The 24429-nt window shown below is 39.5% G+C and overlaps 1 protein-coding gene and 1 long non-coding RNA gene across 9 annotated transcripts in view; one reads left to right on the top strand and one right to left on the bottom strand.

Annotated features, from left to right (window-relative positions):
• The window catches only part of COL4A3 (collagen type IV alpha 3 chain), a 150169-nt gene that overhangs the window by 38166 nt on the left and 87574 nt on the right, over positions 1-24429 (bottom strand). For all 8 annotated transcript variants that reach the window (XR_001738601.2, NM_000091.5, XM_005246277.4 and 5 more), the window contains exons 12-27: positions 23290-23331; positions 22989-23066; positions 22453-22515; positions 21912-21971; positions 20557-20601; positions 20231-20284; positions 18983-19024; positions 16750-16834; positions 15510-15545; positions 12683-12847; positions 10118-10210; positions 9539-9634; positions 6647-6717; positions 5675-5857; positions 3510-3678; positions 150-242 (exon numbers count right to left, since the gene is read on the bottom strand). Coding sequence is in view for 7 of the 8 variants with exons in the window: in NM_000091.5 (NP_000082.2) it covers positions 150-242; positions 3510-3678; positions 5675-5857; positions 6647-6717; positions 9539-9634; positions 10118-10210; positions 12683-12847; positions 15510-15545; positions 16750-16834; positions 18983-19024; positions 20231-20284; positions 20557-20601; positions 21912-21971; positions 22453-22515; positions 22989-23066; positions 23290-23331 (1375 nt within the window). In the remaining variant the exon portion in view is untranslated. The remainder of the gene's footprint in view (positions 1-149; positions 243-3509; positions 3679-5674; positions 5858-6646; positions 6718-9538; positions 9635-10117; positions 10211-12682; positions 12848-15509; positions 15546-16749; positions 16835-18982; positions 19025-20230; positions 20285-20556; positions 20602-21911; positions 21972-22452; positions 22516-22988; positions 23067-23289; positions 23332-24429) is intronic.
• The window catches only part of MFF-DT (MFF divergent transcript), a 104113-nt gene that overhangs the window by 48538 nt on the left and 31146 nt on the right, over positions 1-24429 (top strand). The window contains exons 5-9 of the long non-coding RNA NR_102371.1: positions 7858-7999; positions 8184-8274; positions 10692-10752; positions 11189-11958; positions 17344-17449. This is a non-coding gene — a long non-coding RNA (MFF divergent transcript). The remainder of the gene's footprint in view (positions 1-7857; positions 8000-8183; positions 8275-10691; positions 10753-11188; positions 11959-17343; positions 17450-24429) is intronic.

Raw genomic sequence — 24429 nt, 5'->3', positions numbered from 1 at the left:
TTGCTTATCAGGTAAGACACTGCCCTGTGCTCTCTTTTGGAGCCAATGAATACATTTTTTTCCTTATAATGGGGACAGTATTTTTCCAAGAGAGTCAGGGTGTTGTGTGTGTCTGATGCCATGTACCAGATTTGGCAGAGGATACTTACCAGGTGGACCTTGGGGGCCAGGATGGCCAGGGGGCCCTGGAGGTCCTGGTGGGCCTGGAACTGGTGTTGAAACACTGAGCTCTCCCCTAGGGCCTTAAGGAAATTTGTGGTCATAAGATTGGGGTATATATTGAAGCTTGTCTTAGACGATAGCGGAAAATACGATTATAAAGGGTTTATAAACATATCCCCAAAAAATAAAAAATAACCTCTGTTTTCACAGACTTCAAAACTAGCTTAAGGACGACCAGCCCATAGAAACTTTCTTATTGAATCAACAAATATTTATAAGTGTAGACAATCGTCTAAACTTTGTTTTAACCTGTTTCCTGTTTACTCTGAGATAACTCACAGATGACGGTCCTAACTTTACCCTCTTACATTAGGATTAGAGACAAATTCTGTTTAGAAATAACTCCAAGAACAGTTATTGTATTTTATTTCACATTGAAAATCAGATTTGCTTCAGCCTCAAAGAATGTGTTTATGTAAAATTAAATGAGCGCTGGCAGCGAGCTGCAATTTTTTTTTTTTTCTAAAAGGGAAATTAATAGCCCAACATGCTGGTCTATTGAAAAGAGCCTATTCCAAAAAATTGATAATATGGAATTAAGTTTAAACGTTGGTGAATACTGATAGGATACTTATTTATTGGGTGGCTAGTTTCCACAGGAAGGCTATTGAACAAAACAGTAAGTTTTGATATGGGCAAGGCTGACATTGGTTTGTAAACCTGGACACTTTTCTTAACCTCTCTGATAAGTTCCTCATCTGTCGCGGGGGAAAGAATGCCTACCTAGCAGATAAGGACACGAGATAATATTCTGACCACAGTGGCAAACATTAAAAACATGTTTAGTGATAAGTGTTGTCCATATAGTCATTTATTTATAGAAAAAAATAGGTTTACAGTATGTGATGGGACAATTTTGGTAATAATATATTTTATGACAATGGAATCCTTTAGTAAAGATTCACACTTAGAAATCACAGAAGAGGCTGGGTGTGGTGGTTCACACCTGTAATCCCAGAACTTTGGGAGACCAAGGCGGGTGGATCACTTGAGGTCAGGAGTTCAAGACCAGCCTGGCCAACATAGTAAAACCCCGTCTCTACTAAAAATACAAAAATTAATCAGGCCTGGTGGTGTGCGCCTGTAATCCCAGCTACTCAGGAGGCTGAGGCACGAGATTCCCTTGAATCCAGGAGGTATAGGTTGCAGTGAGCCGAGATCACGCCACTGCACTGCAGCCTGGGTGGCAGAGCAAGACTCCATCTCAAACAACAACAACAACAACAACAACAACAGAGCATTTGGTGATGGATTAGAACAGGGCTAAATAAACTTTTGCTGTAAAGGGCCAGATAGTAAGAAATTTAGGCTTCGTGATTGAAATCTACCCAACTACTCAATTCTGCCATTGTAGCATAAAAGCAGCCAGAGACAGTACATACAGGAGTGCAGCTGTGTTCCAAGAAACTTTATTTATGGATACTCTAATTTGAATTTCATGTAATTTTCATGCATCACAAAATATCATTAAACATTTTTTTCAATCATTTGAAAATGTGAAAACCATTCTTAGCTTGAGGATCATACAAAATCAGGCAGTGGGCTGGTCTTGGACTGTGGTCCACCACCGTTTGCTAGTACCTGGATTAGAACAGCAGCCTCCTTCGGCCAGGCATGGTGGCTCATGCCTGTAATCCTAGCACTTTGGGAGGCCGAGGCAGGTGGATCACCTGAGGTCAGGAGTTCAAGACCAGCCTGGCCAACATGGTGAAACCCCATCTCTACTAAAAATATAAAAATTCGCCTGGCATGGTGGCAGGTGCCTGCAATCCCAGCTACTTGGGAGGATGAGACAGGAGAGTAACTTGAATTTGGGAGGCGGAGGTTGCAGTGAGCCAAGATTGCGCCATTGCTCTCCAGCCTGGGCGACAGAGCAAGATTCCATCTCAGACAAAAAAAAAAAAAGCAGCTCCAAAGTAAGGTGCAGATAAACATAAATATTTATTTGTTTATTTAATATATAGAGAAAGTCATAAAATAAGATTTACATACATGTGTGGACAGAAATGATGCATACATTTATAACATATAATGTAAGGTTGTGCACTCAAAAAGTTTTACTGATGAGGGAAGACACTACAAAATGATTTAGAGGTTTACTGGGTCTTACCCTTTAAAGTGATTTTTAAAATTTATTTATTTATTTATTTATTTATTTATTTATTTTTGAGACAGTATCTCAATCTGTTGCCCAGGCTGGAGTGCAGTAGCACGATCTTGGCTCACTGCAACCTCCACCTTCCAGGTTCAAGCGATTCTCCTACCTCAGCCTTCCAAGTAGCTGGGACTGTGGGTATGTGCCACCATGCTCAGCTAATTTTTGTATTTTTAGTAGAGATGGGGGTTCGCTATGTTGACCCGGCTGGTCTTGAACTCCTGACCTCAAGTGATCTGCCCACCTTGGCCTCCCAAAGTGCTGAGATTACAGGTGTGAGTCACTGTGCCCAGCCTAAGGTGATTTTAGAAGTAAAACATGACCATGTTGGCATTATTTGCTCAAAACTATCAGTAGCATGCTATTCTGACCTTCAGCCACACTCCTGAATCCAGAACTACGGCCAGTATATGTATATCCCAAAAGTTACCTGGACTTTTAAACTATTATCAGACCATTTTCCTTCATTTGTCTTAGATATTTTAAAGTTTTATTTGTAACCTGCCTATGGAGTTATGGATCAAAATCAACAAATTTGTGGCTGCGCACAGTGGCTCACGCCTGTAATCCTAGCACTTTGGGAGGCTGAAGCAAGGATTGTTTGGGGTTGGGAGTAGGAGACCAGCCTGGACAACACAGCAACATCCTGTCTCTACAAAAAATAAAAATAAAATATATATTAGCTGGTCGTGGTGACACGTGCCTGTAGCCCCAGCTACTCAGGAGACCAGGCAGGAGGATCTATTAAGCCCAGAAGTTTGAGGATGCAGTAAACTATAATTATGCCACTGCACTCCAGCCTGGGCAACACAGTGAGACCCTGTCTCTAGAAAACCACAAAAAACAAATTTGCAATAACGCTTAGGATCTATTCATTTCATATATATATATGTATGTATGTAATAGATATAGAATATTCTAGGAAATTTCAGTTGAATTGCCCAGTAATGGAGAAAAAATGAGTTTTCTCTAACATACCCTACATATTCTTTCCTGGTATCTGTGAGTTGACATATTCTATTCGTTAGAAGCAAGTTTCTATATTTTCCTTAGTCTTGGAGAAGCTTCGTTAGCTCTAGAAACCATCAACCCACTCCATCGGAAAACAGGACTGGAAAGAAAACTAACCAACCGGCTTCTCCGGGTGGTCCGGGGGCTCCAGGAACTCCTTGCGTGCCCTGGAGACCAGGTTCTCCTTGGGGTCCGTAGCCAGGTGGTCCAGCTGGTCCTGCAGGTCCTGGGGACCCAGGGGAGCCAGGATCCCCTGGAGGACCTTGGTCCCCTTTCTCACCACTCAGAGCCTGTGACAACAGGAATGTGTTTGAATCGTGCTTCATTCCAGTATATTCTTACAACAGGTTAATCATCCTCCAAATATGAATACCAGTTAGGCTGTCATTGAGATCTTGAATTAAAAGCATTTGGCATTTGATGAGAATTATTACTAAAGTAAGAGCACTGCAGGTTTCTTCCGTTTTGTGTCCTTTGGAGTTTAGCAACATTTTTTGAACTTGGAACTGTCTTGAGTCCCACTTGAGATATCTTACAATGATGGGTCTCCCATATGGTAATAGCCACTAAAACTATGTTCAAATTGACCAATAGTTCAAATGACTTTAGTGGTGATATTCATGATAATGTTACATTTCTGAAATAAAATGAGCACAGCAAACCTTTATTTCTGGTTTCACCAGGTATTTTCATGACAAAGGGGATTTCCCACTTCCATTTTCTCTCATAAACTGTCTAGTTTTTAAATCTTCATATGCTATAACCTTGAAAATGATTTGTAGATTTAAAAGAAATTGAATTTGACAAAATAATTTAAGCCCTCTTCCTTCCCAACATGGCCCTCTGAAATAAATTTGACTCAATTTTTCATTGTTCAATATCATCAGATGGCTAAGTGGTCTGTCTCCTTTTTTAATGACAGGGTGTAAGACTCAACAAATCACCACCTTGATTTTTCTCTCATTTACTTTATGGAGCATCTTTACCAGAACTTATAAAGAAAAATCAGTGAGATGCAAGTAGGGACATCATACAAATTCTCTTAATATTAGACCATCAGAATTCTGGCACTGTCACTTTATAAGCATAACTACCACAAAGTGAACAACCTGGGACTTGGCCAAGGCAGGGTCTGAGAACTGCTGGCACCATAGATGCTGCCAGCCAAAAAGGGTTTTGTAGTCAGAAGCATTTAGGAAAGACCAGATAGCTTATCTTCATGTGGAAGACTCACAGTTCATATTCTGATATTAAAGGGTCTGTAAATGAATCTTTAAATTTGTTTACCAAGTTTCTCCAAACCTCTTTGAGGTAAGATCTGTTTTATTGGCTAACACAGATTAGCCCTGGGAGAAACTGGTATTTCATAGAATAGTTTGGGCAGCATCCCTTGCAAACCTCTTGTAAATACATTATGATGACAGGTGCTCACCCTCTCACTCTGTGACATTTTAAAATAAATCTTAGGTCTGGGTGCAGTAGCTCACACCTGTAATCCCAGCACTTTGGGAGGCTAAGGTGGGTGGATCACCTGAGGTCAGGAGTTCGAGACCAGCCTGGCCAACATGGTGAAACCCCGTCTCTACTGAAAATACAAAATTAGCTGGGTGTGGTGGCACATGCCTGTAATCCCAGCTACTCAGGAGGCTGAGGTGGGAGAATCACTTGAACCCAGGAGATGGAGGTTGCAGTGAGCTGAGATTGCACCATTGCACTCCAGCCTGGGCAACAAGAGCAAAACTCCCTCTCAAAAAAAAAAAAAAAAAAAAAAAAAAAATCTTGGTAGGTATTACCTCAATTAAATATGTGAGAAACTCTCTCATGAAAAGGGATTAAATTTCCATAAAATTAAATGAATGACAAAACATTTAATCTCTTTATTTGACTACCATACCCCTAAATATGCTGTCTTCTTATGCATTTATTTTTATTTAAAAATATGGACATCGCCCCAAAATATTTACTAAACTTTCTACTATACATCATTTTCTGAACTTTTCCATAGACTCATTTGATACAAATATGGAACTGTAATTTGTGTATGAGATGGGGTCATTATCAATGTAGAATTTTGATTGGTTGAAATCACTGAATGCTACCTATTTATTCTGTCAAAATACTATAACTATTTGCTTGGGTTATTCCTGCTAATTTGAAGATGTTTCATTCTGCAGTTAGAGTGATGAACTGTGCTGAGCGGCCAACCATTTTTGGAAAAGAAATCACTTTATCTCTTAACTTCAGAGTACTTCATTTATAGGGAGGGTAAAGTTGCTAAATACCAACCAGTTCGCCTTTAGGTCCTGGTAATCCTTTCACTCCCGGAGTTCCAGGAATTCCATCCAAGCCCTTTCTCCCAGGTTGGCCTCTGAGCCCCGGGTCACCTGGGACACCCACTTGCCCCTCAGGCTGAAGTGTTTCACCTTTTTCTCCTTTAAGTCCTGGGTCACCCTGGGCACCTGGGAAACCCTAGGGTAGTACACAAATGAATCTGTATTGTATTTTGTTAGAATTCTTCTTCTGTCAATCTTAAAAACAGTGTGGACAAGAACTTTTCAATTTTAACATGAATTTTTTCAACACACTCTTTGGTCCACAACTATTATTACAAGCATTTTGTTTGTTTTGCTTTGTTGTTAACTTCCAAAACTGAAAAATAATTCAGTTAGATAGTATAATTCAAAGCAATACAGACAATAATATAATTTAATACCATAGAACAATCACCATAATACAGGTTATGTTTGAATATTGGTAAATTTTAACAAGCCTCTTTGAATAGTTTGATCTAAGTATATTTATCTATAACTTTTTGATTCACTATGACAGTCAAGATTCTAATTTTTAACGGACTTATTGAGGTATAATTTACATACCATAAAATTTCTCCTTTATAAGAGTACAATTCAATGATTTTTAGTAAATTTATAGAATTATGCCACAATCACCACAATCACGTTCAAACATCTCCATCACTCTCCCAAATTCCCTCAAACCTATTTGCAATGAACCTCTGTTCCCACTCTCAGCCCTAGGCAACCACTAATCTGCTTTCTGTTTCTGATACCATTTCAAACTGTTTATAAATTCATTGACTCATTCACTTAATCAGTCACAGATTTATTCATTTAATCAACAGGTATCTATTAAGTGCCTACTGTTTGCAAGGCACCAAACTGGTAAGTGTGTTGCAACCATATTTCTAGAGTGTGCAATTTGTCAAATTGAAGCTAAAGATTTAAAAACATGAAATCTTACTGGAAATCCTGGAAGACCTGTATTTCCTGGGGACCCTGGGCTTCCTTTCAAGCCAGCTGCGCCTTGTCTTCCTGCAAATCAACGAATTATTAACTAACTCCTCATTGAACGCCAACTCTAAGTAGACAGGGTAATACAATGTATGAAGAAAATAGAGTGTTTCCTTGTGGGGAAAGAAAGACAACTTCTATCATAAAACATAAATGCAATAAGAGAATGGGAGTAAATAACAGAACAAGAGATCATGTAAAAAGTAACTCAGATCTTAGCTTCTTAAAATTTTATCTTCATAATTTTAAGAATATATCTTTATTTTTTCTGAGTATATATTACTTTTAAAAGTAATATATGCTCATTATAAGAAAATTATGCAGAAAGAAGAGACTAAAAATCACCTATAAATCTACCAGAAGATAATATTTGCCAAAGTTTAATGTAAATTAATGATACATTTTTTATATCCATAAGTGCATAGGACTCGTAGACACACTATTTTGGATTTATAGTATACATATGTCAATAAGTATGAATTTATAGCTTCATTTTAAATGGCTGCATGCTGCCTATTGTGTTGGCGAGCCATCATTTATTTAGCTAAATGCTGTTTTTAGACATTTAGACATTAGGTAGACATTTTTCAACTTTTAGCTGTTGTGAACAATGCTTTGAAAAATGTCTCTGGGTATTTAGCTCTCCAAATTTATCCAATTATTTCCTTTATAATAAATTTTTAAAAGTGTAATAGCAGAGCCAAATAGTCTCAAACTTTTCTAAGGTTTTGAATGTCTCTTGCCAAATTGCATTTTATTGTACAATTTTATACTTCCCATAGGTATTTAAATATCTCTATCAAGATGATCCCTTTAAATGACCTTCTGGGTGGGTCTCTGGTCAGTTAATCAACACATATTTATTCAGATTCTATTTTTTGCAAGATCTTGAGCTGGGGTGTATCTTTTTATAGTGATCCAAACCATTTTACTGCTTACATATCTTCTTTGAGCTGCACCTGGATAGGCCAAATGTAGAGAAACTATGGAAAATGCAACAATGCAATAAGTGGTCAGCATCAGTGAGCTGCTCACCTGCTCCCCTTGAGCCAAAGAGGAGACTCAAGGAGAGTATAGGAAAATAATGATTTTTTATCTTTTATTATTTTTCCTCCTTATTTCCCTCCTTCATTTCCTTCCTTTTGGTTTTTGTTTTAATAGAACATTTCCGCTGGATATTTGGATACTGAACAGGAGTAACAAGAGGAACAGCTCCTACCTCCCCCCTGCCCCTTCCCTCACAAGCCTGTGAGTCAGGGCAGGGGCAGCCACTGAAAGTAGCAGAGGCCTTCATAAAGGAGAAGTGAGTGGGATCTGAGGGGACAAAGGATCCCTGCCCAAGTGCATGTCATCCAGTGGCTGACCACAGTGTTCACGGCTGCCGCCATTAGTCTTTCATCTTTGGATTGAGACCCAGTCTCCCAGAAGACCCTATGCCAATGCAAATGGCTACTGGACAGTGATAATGTATAATGTTCCCTATCCAGGTTGTCAGGTAGACCTTTGGATTAACTCCCCAAAAGCAGCCCCCTAGGAGACAGGCGACAGCACCGCAGTCAGGGGATGCAGGCGTGGAGGGTAAGAGCACGCGTCTAGATTTCAGTTCAGTCTCTACCATGTTATTAGCTATGCCACCTGATGCCTCAGCTTCCTCATCTGTCCAATGCGGTTAATTATAGCACCAGCCTCTCGGGCTGATGTGAGAGATAAAGGAATGGAGGCACATAAGACCCTTAGAACAGCGCCCAACACACAGGCCAAGGGCTCTGTAACTTCACCTCTCAATGGTCAATGATACATAATTTGATGACATTGTCTGAAGACCAAGGTGCTGGTGGCAGAGTCAGGACTGTGGGTGGTAGCGAGGGAGAGAGAGGCCCTGTGTAGTCAGGGGAGTGGCCCGAGGGGCAGAGGAACCCAGTCAGTAAACAGAGACGTTTTGTACTTCAAAGTTTTGCCCATAGGCAGTTCTGTGACTGAAGACGGGGAGGTCGAAAGCAGAGGTGGTGACAGCCGGGAGTAACCGTGTGGTGTGGAGAGTCCTGGCCTGGCACACAGTTGTCAAGAGAAGGCTTGTGACTCATCCTTTATTTAAGCCTCAGGACACTGGCTATAAAATGTTGTGTTTTTTTTTTTTTCCTTTCAAAATTTGACTTAGTGGCTAATATTTTTTTAAAAAAACACCATGAGATTTTAAATAAAAATTCCAATTCCTTTCTTCTCATGAAAACTTGGAAGATTTATTAATGCAGGGCCTGACATGTTGCACAGTAACAATGGGCTGCAGCCAAGTGCCCGCTGGCCCGTTCAAATGTACCCTCAGTTTGTTTATTGCATTTCTGCAACTCTCTTGTCCCCAGCACGGAGGATGTTGCAATTTTTTAAAGAGCATTTGCATCCTTAAGAAGAAAGTGAAATACCACATTTTTCTATGACTCTTTTAAAAGTAGGAACATGAAAAAATGGACTGAGTAGGGTTGTGTCTTTTGAGAAAAAAAGGGAGAGAGCATATTTCTTTATGGAAGAGAAAGAGGGTGTGTGTTTCATGCAGCTGCTTCACTGCCTTCAGTTAACTGCTGTTCTCTTGTAGGACTCTGTGTTCACAATTCCTGCCTAACACAATACTTTGCTAGGGGTCAGCAACTAAAATGGAATAGGGAAAAATACCAGCTTTTCTTGGATTTTGGCTGACTTTATGTTAATAGAATATATGTTTTTGAAACTCTCCCTCCAAGTTCATCTAAACCACGTTGTGACATCCACCAATCCAATGCCTTTATTTTCTTCCAGTGTATTGACCCTTTTGTGCTTGCAAAAACACTTGCATGCAAATTGTTTGTACCTGGGATTCCTTTTACACCATGTAACCCTGGCAATCCTGGGAGACCGGGAGGCCCTGGGATATAAGGGCACTGTGTACACAGGAGGCCTGGTTCTCCTGCAATGAGAGCATACTAGCATTACTTAAAAAGCTACATTGAGTCCTCAGAAAGAACAAATATTTTCCAACCACACTATCATTTATTACATTTAAACATTTTTATGTAGTGAAAATTATCTAGGACGTTATACATATTAATTTAAAAATTCATTTATTATAGATCTGCTTACTTTAATGTTCTGAGCTATACAGTTCTTCTGAAAGGGGAAATTCCAAAAGTCTAACATAAAACATCTATTTCAGTGTTTCTTTCCTTGCATGCAGGCAAAAACTCACATTTTAGGGATATCCAACAATTTATTGCATGGGTGCCAAATAAATTATTGATTTACAGATAAATGAATACTTTTAGCTAATGGAAAATAAGTCATCACTGACTGGTAGCTATTTGGGATCATTGTTATCTCAGGGGGAAAAATCAGTGATAATAATGACGATGAAAAAGGCTTATCCTAATACAACATTATTGATTGAACCAACCTTTGGGCCCATCAACTCCTGGGATTCCTGGAGACCCTAGATAGCCTGGCAGTCCGTGATCTCCAGGTGGACCCTTGCGAAAAACGATGTCACCTATAAAAATACAGCACCAAAGACAATTTTTTATTTGTGTTTTTTTCAATTAGCAAGTATTGTAATATATGTATTATTTAAAATGCATCTCTCTCATCTTTGTATTGGAAGCCTAGTCTTTAGAAGTTTATCTGCAACTGAGAAAGCATGGTGACCAGCTCTTCCCTTCATATTACATAGATGTGGTATTTTTAAGGTAGTTGATCTTTGAAAGCTCATTGTATAATTTTTTTTTTTGGTCACAGAATCAACCTATTTTATCTTACTTAGTTGTTTCCAATTATTCCAAGTTGATATGGTTTGGCTGTGTCCCAAATCTCATCTTGAATTGTAGTTCTATAATCCCCATGTGTCATGAAAGGGACCTGGTGGGAGGTAATTTAATCATGGGGGCAGTTACCCTCATGCTGTTCTTGTAATAGTGAATGAGTGCTTATGAGATCTGATGGTTTTATAATGGGCTTTTCCCCATTTTGCTCAGCACTTCTCCATGTTGCCATCATGTGAAGAAGGACATGTTTGCTTCTGCTTCTGCCACGAGTGTAAGTTTACTGAGGACTCCCCAGCCGTGCTGAACTGTGAGTCAATTAAACCTCTTTAAATTACCCAGTCTCGGATATGCCTTTATTAGCAGCATGAGAATGGACTAATACACAGACAATCCCTTTAGCATCTTGAGGCAAAGGATCAACTCTTATTCTGGATATTTTTGGATACATTGTATTTTCCTGATATACTGTAGATGCTTAATATATATTGAGTAAAAGAAAAATGGATTCTGACTCAGGGTATCATCTGTTTTCTCTTTGTTGCTTGTCCACATCAATTGAGTTGTCATCCTTAAAGCAGGTCTCTAAGAAAGCTCTTCTCAGCTTCCACATTATCTGCTACTGTAATGTTGCAATGAACAGCTCCTTCTCTTAAACTGGTTAATTGTGTTCAGTAATCTAATTTTTGGCTTTGCCATTTCAATTACAGGTTGAAGGCAATGGTGATGAAAGTAAATATTTAAAAACACTACCATAGCTGTCCCAAATTTCAGAAAAACAAGGTACCACTGGAACCATTTAATTTTGTTGGAACACAGAATGACCATCTTGTGATCAGTTTTCTGCATCTTTAAAATACCTGGAAGGTCATCTTTAAATAGTACAATCTGATAAAAGTTTAATACTTAGTGTAGACTTATATGAATACTTCTACATTCATACATTTTTGTATACTTATACATTTTCATACTCAATTAATGCTTAATTCAAAAAATATCTGAGTACCTGCAGTGTTCCCCATGCTACATACTGGGCTTAAACAGCCAAAAAGACACAGTCTTTGACCTCAAAATACTTTGATTCTTGTAAGAAAAACTGACAAAGACAAAGAGAAGGCAATGTGAAAACTTCTACAGTTGGGATAACCTTGGAGGTTACAGGATGTGGACTCACTGAAAGCTTTCTGCTGGACTTGAACTTGAAGCTGAAGTCTGAAGGACAGATGGGTGTTGCTTAGCGAAGGGAAAGTAGGAAGCAAAGACCCCTGGACAGAGTGTAGCAGGCACAGAGGGAGCATGACACCTTCGGGAGAGAGCCGCAAGCACCTGGGCCCAGATCCCAGCTTTAGCTTCATTAGCCCTGTGAACTCTGTATGTCAGCCTTGACATAGAAAAAAAGAGGATACTAAACCTCCATCTTAAAAGAGACTTGGAAGAAGCTGGGATTATAGGCACACCACCACACCTGGCCCCAGAAAAGGTATGTTAAAATATAAAGTGTGATCTATATGTTTGTGAGGACCTATTGTACCTATGAGCCAACACAGAATGCTAAGTGGCTCTCTAGAGGGATGCGAAGGAAAGGCTCCCTGTGTCAGGACCTCTGAGCACCACTTCAAGTCCATTGGGCCACATCTCTGTCATCTCTGACCCCTTTACCTCATAGCATGTTGCCTTACACCCATGCGGCACACCTCTGGCCTACTGTCCTGGGGCTTCCCTGCTGATGCCAAGGCATGGGACTTCCTGGGAACCATGCAGACACAGCCTGGAAGTGGGAGGATGGGAGGTGGGGGGCGGCTCCTCTCTTGGGGGGAAATCTTTGACCCATGGGAACTAGGAGCAAATGGATAAATTCTTGCCTCTTTCTCCCCTGGCACAGATAGTCTCCAGGGCTGAACAGGCAGTTGCAATTGGTCAAGGCCAACTTGATAGCCACCCATCCTTCCCCACATCACTCTCTTTGTCCCTGCCTCCTACTCTGCTCTCTGGGAAACTCGGGCTAAGACTTTGCTGCATTTGTTAACTAGTCATTGCATCAGTTTCTTTCACAGACAGTTAGTGAAATGAAGACCATTGGAAAGGTAACTCATAAAAACCACACAGACTGATGGCTAAGCTGTGAGGAGGGTTTGTTGCCCGTGGTTTGCACACATCTGTCATTTGGCACTGTGCACAAAAGGGGTCCCCTTCCACATCTTTACCTGGCGGTCCTGGAGGTCCCGGTGATCCTGGAAGACCTGGTGAACCAGCACAACCTGGGGACCCAGGAGTCCCCATGGCATCCTTTCCTGGGCGGCCTCGTTCCCCTTTACTTCCTTTCAGGCCTGGCCATCCAGGGGCTCCTCTGAGGCCAGGCCTTGATGATCCTTGGAGAAAATAATCATTTCTTGTATTTTACATTTTTTCCTGATTAATACGAATTTATTTTTTAATTGCAAGAGTGATTTAATTTTATTTATAAAAATTGCACAATGGAGAGGTACATAACACATATAAAATAAAAAAGTGAATATCCTTGCTTTTTTCATCTGTGGCCTTGTTAAATAACCACAGTACAGTGAAGTGCAGAACATTCCATTCCCACAAGAAAATTTATTACAAGAAACTGAAACAGAGTTTGGGATGCACTATAGTCTTTTTATTTAAAAGGAAGTGAGGAATACTTCCATATATGCTACTTTGTAGATTTTTTTTATTAGAGACTAGAGGATGCCCCCAGTGCGCAAAATGAGAAAGAGAGAAAGTTGTTAAGTGGACTTTATTCCTGCCAGTGTCTTAGACATAAAAGGCTGTGATGGGGGATAGTCATCTCCTGGGAAAGGAGCCGTGCCTGGTGGCACGAACCCCACCCTAATCTTAAAGTGGTGAGGATGTGAGGAGGGGACAGTCTCAAATCTCTGTCCCACAAACAGTTTAACTATTAAGAAGAGAGATGCCACCAGCAAAGGACTGAGAAACCAGCCGGGGTAATATCTGATTATGTCCTATTATTTGAACACAAAGATAAAATCTTCTGATTGACATCCATTTCAGAGTTTTGTATTTTTTTAATCATATTTTACTTTGGCATATTAGATTTGTACTAATTTATGGGATACATGTAAGATTTTGTTACATGTATCAAATGTGTAGTGTAATGATCATGTCAGGGTATTTTTGAGTATCTTTGACCCAAGTATTTATCATTTCTGTGTTGAGTACATTTCATGTCCTCTCTTCCAGTTAATTTGAAATATACAATACATTGTTGTTAACTATAGTCACCCTACTGTGCTATCAAACATTAGAATTTATTCCTTCTATCTAGCTGTATGCTTGTACCCATTAACCAATCTCTCTTCACCCCTAACTCCATCAAAAAAACTCTTAGAGCCGATAAACAAATTCAGTAAAATTGCAGGACATGAAATCAACATACAAAAATCAGTAGCATTTTTTATGCACCAATAATGGAATAGCCAAAAAAGAAATCAAGAAGGCAATCCCATTTGCGGTAGCCACACACACACAATAAAATACCTAGGAATACATTTAACCAACAAGGTGAAAGATCCCTGCAAGAAAAACTATAAAACACTGGTGAAAGAAATTGAAGAGCACACAAACAAATGGAAAGACATCCCATGCTCATGGATCAGAAGAACTAATCTAGTTAAAATGACCATACTACCCAAAGCAATCTACAGATTCAGTGCAATTCCTATCAAGATACCAATGCCATTTTTCACAGAAACAGAAAAAACTATCCTAAAATTCTTCTGGAATTAGAGCTTTGTAGTTTTCCTCTCATCGGCTTATTAAAGGAGCCTGTTTTTTTGTTTGTTTGTTTGTTTGTTTTGTTTTTTTTACTTAGGGGCCTGGCAGGGGGAAGGAGGTCTTCCTTAATGTCAGAGCTCTAAAATATCTTTTTGCCCCATTCTAACTGTAAGAGATATCTACTATTAACAGTTTGAGGTATATCTTTCCATGCATATTCAGGTACATATAATATTTATCCATTTCTGTATCTATTTTTTTAATAGTGAAATTATAGTATACTTATAGTTCTGCAGTCTGCTTTATTTTGATTAATTTTCAAAATTATGAAGTAGTATAATATACAACATCATATAGAGAAAAATATGATCAGTGGCAGGGCACATGCCCAGTAGTTTATCAAATTTTGCTCTTTTTTCTTAGTTTTGTTTTCGTTAAAAAGAACACACTACAGTTATACTTGATGAGTCCCTGTGGACCATCCCTGATCCAACTCTTTTTCCTCTCTCAAAAGGTAAACACTCTAATGAGTCAGAGACGAAAGTTTAGAACTTTACAGAAAAAGTGTAATGTAGGTATCCTTATGCAACTCATGATATGTTATGAAAACTGTCATTTTCAAGCAACCTCATTACCATGACATTGTTTTCTATTTCTGTACCTCCTCTGAGTTTCAAGGTCCCTGCTCATACTCCAAAAGTCACTGTAAAAATCCCGGACAATAAAGCTTTTGCAAATAGTTAAAACTGCTGAGAAGAGAAAAAGAGCATTTCTGTATCAGTTTGTATCAGCTCCACTCCTTCTTCCACTATAAATTGCAAAGATGACAATTTAAGAAGCTGAGAACACTGTTTTATTTTATTTTGAGATAGAGTCTCACTGTTGCCCAGGCTGGAGTGCAGTGGTGCCATCTCAGCTCAGTGCAACCTCCGCATCCCAGGTTTAAGTGATTCTGCTGCCTCAGCCTCCCGACTAGCTGGAATTACAGGCGTACGCCACCACGCCCAGCTAATTTTTTTGTATTTTTAGTAGAGACGGGGTTTTGCCATGTTTGCCAGGCTGGTCTCGAACTCCTGACCTCAGGTGATCCACCTGCCGTGGTCTCCCAAAATGCTGGGATTACAGGCGTGAGCCATTGAACCCAGCCTGGAAACACTTCTAGATCAGTTAATGAAACATTTGTCTTATGTAAATAATGTAAACTTAATAGAGGACAGCTTATTTTCCTTTGTAATAGCATTTCTATTTGTACCCCAAGAAACATGGACATACCAGGACTTCCAGGAACTCCGGGGGGACCACTGGGACCTGGGAATATATAACATTAATTAATTGCTTAGAAAGATATAAATGCTGTCCCATCCACTTTTGGAATCTTGGGTGACAATATACTGATAGTTAATAATACAGAGTTTTCATACTTTTTTCCTACTCTCACCTAGACAAATATCAGAAATTTTCACTTATTTAGACAAGAGAAAACTAATCTTGGAAGTCTAACACTCAAAAGTAAATCATGCTGCCTTATCATTTTCACATAATTCAGCCTAGATTTACTAAGAGCCTGCTCTGTGTTTAGCACTTTGCTGGAAGTGTAGACACCAGAAAATCAAACAGTGCTGGAACATCCAGGATAGCAGTTTGTCTTGGTGTTCCATCTTAGATTGCTTCCATCTGTAATATTCTGGGGGTTATAATTCCTTTATATATACATGTGAGTGATTTACAGTAAGTGTACCAGATTTTTAAGAAAATCTATATCAATGTCTGTATTCATCTGTCCTTTTATTTAAATACACTGGGAAATTTTATTCTTTTAAGTAGAATTTCCTTTGAAATCTTCTTCATAGCAATAATTTGTCTAGATCAGTGGCTCCCAATCCTGGCTGCACATTGGACTAGTCCAGGGAGTTTTTACAATCTTCTAGTGTCCAGAGCCCTCCTCCAGACAATGAAATCAGAATCACAGGGTGGGACCTTGACGAGGCCATTATAGAAGTTCCCAGGGTTTTCAATATGTAGCCAGAGATGAGAGGGATTGGCCCAGAACTTTTGGATTTCTCCAAAGTGATACAGCATAAGTACATGTGACAATAATTCACGGCATCAAGGACAGATCATTGCTTCAAGCATCAGGAAACCAGGGTTTCAGTTCCCCCTTGCACATCTCTGTGTGAGTTTGTTCGCGGTCTCCATTTTTCCCTTCGTAATCCCATTGAGATTGCCAATGCCTTGCACTCCCTCCTCCTGCCCTCCAGCAAATGTTTCCATGACAGATTTGAACTTTATGTTTTGCTACATAAAGATAATTTAATTACCTTCCTGGTATACAACCTATGAAATAAAAATATGAAGAGCAGGAGACATCAAAAAATAACACCTTTATGAAAATGAAGAGATCTCTGTTCCCTTTCCTCACCCATGTCAATTCCATAAGCACATGCTATTTATTACCTTGAAAGAAAGCCAGAAATATGTTCAGCAAATGCTTTAGGAAGAAATTTATTCTTACCTTGTGGGCCACGAGCTCCTCTGGGCCCTGGTGGGCCTGGAGTGCCTTCATCTCCCTTTTCCTGGTATGTGTCATAATATTCTGTCTTAGAGGAGAAAGAAACAAATACAGAGAAAGGATAGCTATTTATGGACAGCTCACCAAACATCATTACTTCAGTTTCTTCATTTTGGCCCAAAGATGGCTTCCTTATTTTCCTGAATTCATAGGTTTACATGTTAGCAGGTATATGATAGTCATGTAAATGTAGGTGGAAAAATTTAAATAAGTAGACCTTTGTGGTATCACAGTATCAGATATTTTATGGGCTTTCAATTAGAAATACATTTTATGATGTGACTCAGTTTACACACCCACATTTATATGTACACATTCATACATACCTATGTATGTGTGTATATGTATAGAAAAATTAAAGTTTCACAAAATAATGACTTATTATTACAACATATGATCAACCCTGATACTTTTTATTCTATTCTACTTCACTTTTCAAAATTGCTGGTCCTGGTGGACTGAACTTATTTCCATTTTGGAAGTGTATGGAACCCACACATCAAAAAATACTGTATTTATTGTTTCTTTAAATTCCAGGGAATCCTTGACCTGCAAGAATCGAGGAATATTGTTTCTGACATGCTCAGTGGACCTACTGCTGGTGTTCTTAACCATTTCCTTCCTAAGTGGAACTTCTTTTGAGGTTAGTAGAAGCTGCAAACAGAATTATATGGAATTGAATATAAGAAAATATACAGTGAAGAGTGCTAAGAATTCCTCTGAAATGTAATGAAAAGGTAGATTTCATTTAGCATTCAGTATATTTATCTTGAAGGAAAAAAGGTGGAAATATCAAAGGTTTGAAAAAAAAAAAACCTCTTTGCTTTTTCATATGCTAGATGGATCAATTACTTTGTTGACTTATTTAACAAGAGTCTTGTGGTTAAGCAATATATATAAAATCACAAAAGTATTATATTAATAATATAACATAATAATGTCCACCATGAAATCTGTAATGATATGCGTGCACCTACCAAGTGTTGGGCACAGTGCTAAGTGATTTCACAAAATACTTATTTAATCTTCCTGGCAACTCCACTAAAGTATTTAGGAACTGCTATAGTTTGAATGTGCTCCCTCCAAAATTCAGGTGTTATCAATGTGATAGAAGTAAGAGGTAGGGTCTGTAGGAGGTGATTAGGCCATGAGTGTTTCTCTCTCATTAATGGGATTAAGGCCCTATTAAAAGAGGCTTTGAGCAGCCTCAGGTCAGCTTGCCCTTCTGCTTTCTGCCATGTGAGGATGCAGCCAAAAAAGCCCTCACCAGACCAAGGGTCAGCATCTTGATTTTGGACTTCCCAGCCTCTAGAACTGTGAAAATAAATTTCTGTTCTTTACAAATTACTCAGTCTCAGGTATTCTATTGTAGCAGCAAAGAACAGACTAAGACAGGGGCTCTATGCATCCAGTGTAAAGATGCAGATTTCCAGGCCCCACTCCAATTCCTGAGTTACATTACTGAGCATGGGGGTCTGAGAACTGCATTTTTAACAGGACACCCCTTCCCCTCATGACCCTTTTGCCACCATGTGCCGTTTTGTTTAACCTGCATGACCATTCACGACAGCCTTGCTTGGCGCACTGAATGTGAGAACCACTGTTTTTTGAGGTAGGAGATGAATGGACACCAGCACTCAGAGTCCGGGTCCCCTTTCTCCTTTTCGTCAGCTGCAGAGTCACAGAATATAAAATGTGGCTGCTCTGCAGTTAGGAGCTGACATCAAATACATGTCCACTGGGAAGGGGAGCACTGCCTGCTACACAGAGCTTGGGCCGGAATGATTGCTTTTTGCTGACCATGTATTAAACACGTTGTCATAACCCGGGCCCAGGTGGAGGGAGGAGAAGTTGACTTCTTCATCCCTTGTTGTCTCACTGTCCTCTACCCTGAAGGGGCAGGATCACCTTGGGCCTGGGCTGCTTAGACAAAGCTTTTCTTCTCTTCCATAGCCCATCATGGGCATCACTAGTGCCTTCCAGGGACCAAATAGAAATATTTACCCGTGGTCAAAGGGACACATAGTGACCAGCTATTTTCTGCCCTGGTTTGACAACAAGGTAAATGTTATAATCTCTCTCACACAGTTAATGAGAGACACTGATTCAAAATTTCCTTGCTACTTTAAAGAACTTGATCAAACATAGCATTGATATTGTCTTTAATCACACTTACTGGACCACGAAATCCTGGAGGGCCAATGTCCCCTTTCTGTCCCTACAGTGAAAGACATTTACAAATTGTGAATATGGTCACCCAAAGTATTTACATATAAAAAGCAAGATGTACAGTTAAAATGAACAATATATTGATATGTAGATGTCATGTACAAACCAAATTAAAGTTAAAGAGACACTGACTTTAAATTATTTTCCTGGAGAGCGCGTATCTGGGTAAGGAATCCCATCTACAAGGTTGTACAGAAGTAGTTATTGCCCTGGTGGTTCTCCAGGTTTCTTTCACAACACCATCTGCAATGCTTGTTCATGTTCATTGCATGTTCCTGTGTTCTCACCCAGGTCAGAGGCACAGGAATATCAGTCTGTGGGGTGTATGCATTTCCAAGTGTCCCAGCTGTAACCAACCCCCTTTCCTTCAAGAAGTCATTTCAGAATTCTACTGGAAGTGATACTATTAAAGGGTAAATCTTGACTCTGCACATATACCTACATATATAGCCATGTGCCACATGACAATGTTTGGGTCAGTGATGGACTGTGTATATGATAGTGGTCTCATAAAATTATAATATCACATTTTTACTACATATTTTCTATGTTTAGATACACAAATACCCACCTTTGTGTTACAATTGCCTACATTATTCAGTACAGTAACATGCTGTGCAGGTTTGTAGTCCAGGAGCAACAGTCTCTGCCATCTAGGTTTGTGTGAGTACACTCTATGATGTTCACACAATGACAGAATCACCTAATGATGCATTTCTCAGGACATAACCCTATCTTGAAGCAACACATGACTACACATGATTTGAAAATATTTGTAACATATTGTCAGAAGGGCAGAATACAGTTCACAACTAATTGATCATGACCTTTCAATGTATCATGACTCAGATTAAGACTCATGAACTCTAGCCTATGCTTGATCTCAAATAACCACAAACTTCCTACAATTGTAGGATTTTTTCAACCTCTTCCTCATGGGAAGCTGCACTCTCACTGGTCCTAAGTCAGACAGCTTCAAGTACACAGTACAAGTTTAATACCTTTTCCTCAAGAACACCCTTCAAATGTTTAAGTAAAGTTGCCACATCTCTCTTTTCTTCTTAACAGACCTAGTAGGGTATTTGAATGAAGTCTGTTATTGTAATCCCTTGTACTTAGGTCCAGGGTTGGAGGTAAAAGTAAAAGCACAGGCAAAACCCAACCTATTAAAATAGGCTATTAGGGAGAGGATTACCTTAATGCCATCTTCACCCATTAACCCAGGGAAACCCCTGTTGCCCTTGACTCCCTAAAGAAAAGAACAAAAAGAAATGGGTCAGAAGACACAGGAGCCAACTTCTTCTGGGGGAGCAGGTGCAATTTGAACTCCTCTGAAACAAAAGAATGTGCTCAGATGATCTCTCTTCACAGTGGGGATGTAAAACTATGATTCCCAAATGCAGTTTTTAAAAGCTGTAAGCTTTTTGTTTGTTTATAACTATTTAGTGATTTTAAAAAATCCTTCTTCAGCTAGTAGGACTGACATTTTTACTACCTCCATAGGCCAAATCAACTCTATACCTCACTTCCAGGGAAGCCAGGAACACCATCTTTTCCGGGTTTTCCCTACAGCAAAAACAAATCAAAAACATGAAATGTAATAAATATGGCTAACTTTACAAATACGGAAATCTTAAGTGATATGATCATCTCCTCTTGACCTCAGGCATGAAAAGCCTGAGTAAAGATCTTCACCCAGGTGTTAGAAGGAAAAACTATTAACCACAGAATACACAATGGCCCTCTCTTTCCAGGGAAAGCAGAAGCCAGTCAGAATGGGAAACTGGAGAAAGTCAGAGAAGGAAGGAAGGACATTAACAGCCAAACTTAAATTAGAGCTGATGCTGTTCATTCTAAACTTGGAAGGGAAAAAAAAAACACACACACACTGGGCAGAGAAGTAAATAAGGAAGCCTAGAAAAAGGAAGGTGTTTACAGTCCATTTATTTATTTATTTGAAATATTGGTAATTCCTTGGACCCCAGGTCTGCCTATATTTAAATATATGTATAAAAGATATAGTGTGGTATCTCAACCGGCAGTTTGGATTGACTTTTATGGTATTTGCCCTTCCTGATAAAATTTAAAAATCATGTTCATTGAATATTTTTTCTCAGGCCAAAAAATACATTCTTTGCTTATGTATAAGTTTTGTAGATTTTACTTTTCCAAATGTATAACTTTTAGAGATTTAACACAATATATGGATTTAAATCTTTCCAAAATGGATCTGGGTGGGGTAGTGGGGGCCCCTGCTGCTTCCGTTTTTCCAGCTGCCCACTTCTGGTCACAGATTGCCCTATTTCCTTTGTGGGGGCTGCTCTTCCCTCCCTCTGGGTGGTTCTGATGGCACTGTCAGTCTCAGTAGCCCACTGCCCCACTGGCCTGGCCAATTATAGTACCCTTTTCTCTTGGTCACTGCCTTTTATCCAGAGTGAGACCAGATATGACCAAGCTGGGCCAATGAGATGAATTCCCTGGGATTTTATAAATGGACACAGGGAGAAATATGCTCTCTTTCTCCTCTAATGCCATTAGCCTGAAGTTGTCTGCTGCAGGGTAGCTCTTTCTCCCCATCTCCCCTGACATGGAAGATCATCTGCCAGAGGAGAGAATGAGGCTGATATGCAGAGAGAAGCAGAAGTGAGATGGAGAGGGAGTCCTGCCCTTATGTTTTCAGGCTCTGAAGTCCTTGAACCCTGTTTTAGCCTTGAACGTCTTAGATACTTGAGTAAGTAAATCCTGCCTCCCAAATCTTAAAGAACAGAAATTTTTAGCTTGAGCTAGTTTGAGTTGGGCATCTTGTTCCTGTAACCTAAAGAGTCCCAAGTCCTGACTAATCAAAACTGCACATGACACCGAATTTCCAAATTTACCTGCAGGCCAGGGTCTCCAGGAGCACCCTTTTCAGATCCATATGATTCTCCAGGCAGTCCCTGTATTAATTAGAGCCATGTCAAATTTTATGAATTACTGATTTTTTTACTTACATTGATTTTTATTAATTTGTCCCTTTTGGTTATTCTGCCATTTAAAAACATGTTTCAGTGCTGAGCCATCTAAGAGAGAAATCTTATTGATGAATAGTAATTAAAAAACAGATGCTAAAAAAGCTGATGCTGAAGATAAGTCATAGGATGGGTGGCATTGGGTGCATGTACAGCAGTGCAAGGATTTCAGCTAGGAGTGGCCGTAAAATAACTCTAGTGTATTCATGATCTCTGCGGTCAAATGTTATTGTATTTTAGCCAATATTAAGACTTAAAAGCAATAGCTGCTCTGCCTGTGGAGTAGCCATTCTTTTATTCCTTTACTTTCTTTAAAAAAAAAAACAACTTAAGACAAAACACACATCAAAGTAAATACTAAGGCTCTACTTTATGTGTTATGGGGACAATATAACTTTAAATAACCTACTGAGGGTCCAGGAGGTCCAGGCTCGCCCATTGCTCCCTTGTCTCCCTTTTCCCCCTTGAGGTCCTGCCAAAGAAACAGTTCAACATTGTTACAAATGGATGAAATGAGATTTCACTGATTCAACAGTGGGACAAATCCTCTATCTGTTCAATAAACTGGGTTTACAAACTATGAATGTGCCTCGTGTTAACACAACCCAATACACCTTCCATTTCTCACATTTCAAATTTTATACCTGCGAACTCACTGAAACTACCTGCAAGCTTTTTTTTAAGTATCTTTTTTTTGTTGTTTTTTTTTTTAAATGAAGTCTCACTCTGTTGCCCAAGCTGGAGCCTCAGATCTTCCCCATGTAATATTTCCAGGATTTATGAGTAAAGGACGGGAAGGAATCAATCCTGGAGGTTCTGGCTGGCTGAGGGAGCTGGGCTGAGCTGGACTTAGATAACAAGAGCTTGTAAAAGAGGTGCAGGGTCACAAGGACTTCATCCTAGACACGGGAAGGCACAACACTAATCATAAAATCGCAGAGTTACCGTTCTGTTATCTGGGCCAGTTAGGGTCACAATAACTGTTCCTGGTGGTCCCGGGGGTCCTGTTAACCCTTTCACACCCTAAAGACAAAAACACTCAGGAGTGAGAAAATAAACAACAGCATCAACATTTCAATGTTACTACGTTTGAAAGGTCTACTTTTCCCCTTTAGTGCTTATACGGGAAGATAGAACAAATGAAGGCCCATCAATTTCAGCTTGGCCCGTAAGTAAACGGTATAGGCTGATATGCTCTGGGACATAAAATATCTCGCCTGCTAATAAAACATAGTATTTAAATTACCCGCTCTCCTTTATGTCCTATCACTCTTTCACCCATGTGACCCTGTAAGAAAACACAAAACCAAATTATTTTCTAAAAATAAATATGAATAAATAGTCTAAACCCATCAAAGTTCCAATATTTGTAAGGGAGCATTTATATTTTAACTTTCATTTTAGAATGATACATATTTTAGCTATTTCTTAGAGAAGAGCATTGATATGTTTCTTTTAAAGGAGGAGCTCTTAAGGTGCAGAAAGCTTAAGGGATTTACCTAACATGGCAAATGCTGACATGCAGTGGTGTGGGGGAGGGAAAGGAGCCCAGCTCAGAGCATATTTTTCTGGCTCTGCATTAGCTAGTTTTAATCCCACTGGCCGGCTACTTAACTTCCTGATGCTCTTGTTTTCTTGTTTTAAAAATAAGAATGGGTAGCTGCATTTCAGGATTCTGAAATTCAATACTTAATAGAGAATCTAAGAATAGAATTCCAGCTACCGACTTCACTAGTAATTTAGTGACATGAGTCTAATGCGAATAGTTTCTTCACTAATGATGGCTGATCCATCATTTCAACTCATATCTGCTTGCTTTTTCACCACTGAGTATGCAGATCTTCCCCTTGTTAGACCAAAGCTAGATCAAAACACTTTAAACCTCAGCTCTGCCATGTACTGTCTATTGGAAAATTCACTTAACCAGAACCTATCCATCTCTCAGGGTGCGTGCATGCATGAGTGTGTGTGTGTGTGTGTGTGTGTGTGTGTGTGTGCATTTGTGTGTATCAATGAGATAATAAATATGAAAGTATCTTGGAAAATACCTCATATAAAAGGCTACCCAAGCCGGGCATAGTGGCTCATGCCTGTAATTCCAGCACTTTGGGAGGCTGAGGCGGGCGGATCACCTGAGGTCGGGAGTTTGAGACCAGCCTGGCCAACATGGTAAGACCCTGTCTCTACCAAAAATACAAAAGCATTAGCTGGGAGTGGTGATGCACACCTGTAATTCCACTTAGTCGGGAGGCTGAGGCAGGAGAATTGCTTGAACCCGGGAGATGGAGGTTGCAGTGAGCCGAGATCGCACCACTACACTCCAGCCTGGGCAACAGAGTGAGACTCCATCTCAAAAAAAAAAAAAAAAAAAGAAAGAAAGAATAAA

This window comes from Homo sapiens, chromosome 2, assembly GCF_000001405.40.
Source record: "Homo sapiens chromosome 2, GRCh38.p14 Primary Assembly".
Classification (NCBI taxonomy): domain Eukaryota; kingdom Metazoa; phylum Chordata; class Mammalia; order Primates; family Hominidae; genus Homo; species Homo sapiens.
This window is presented reverse-complemented; position numbering and strand designations above follow the sequence as displayed.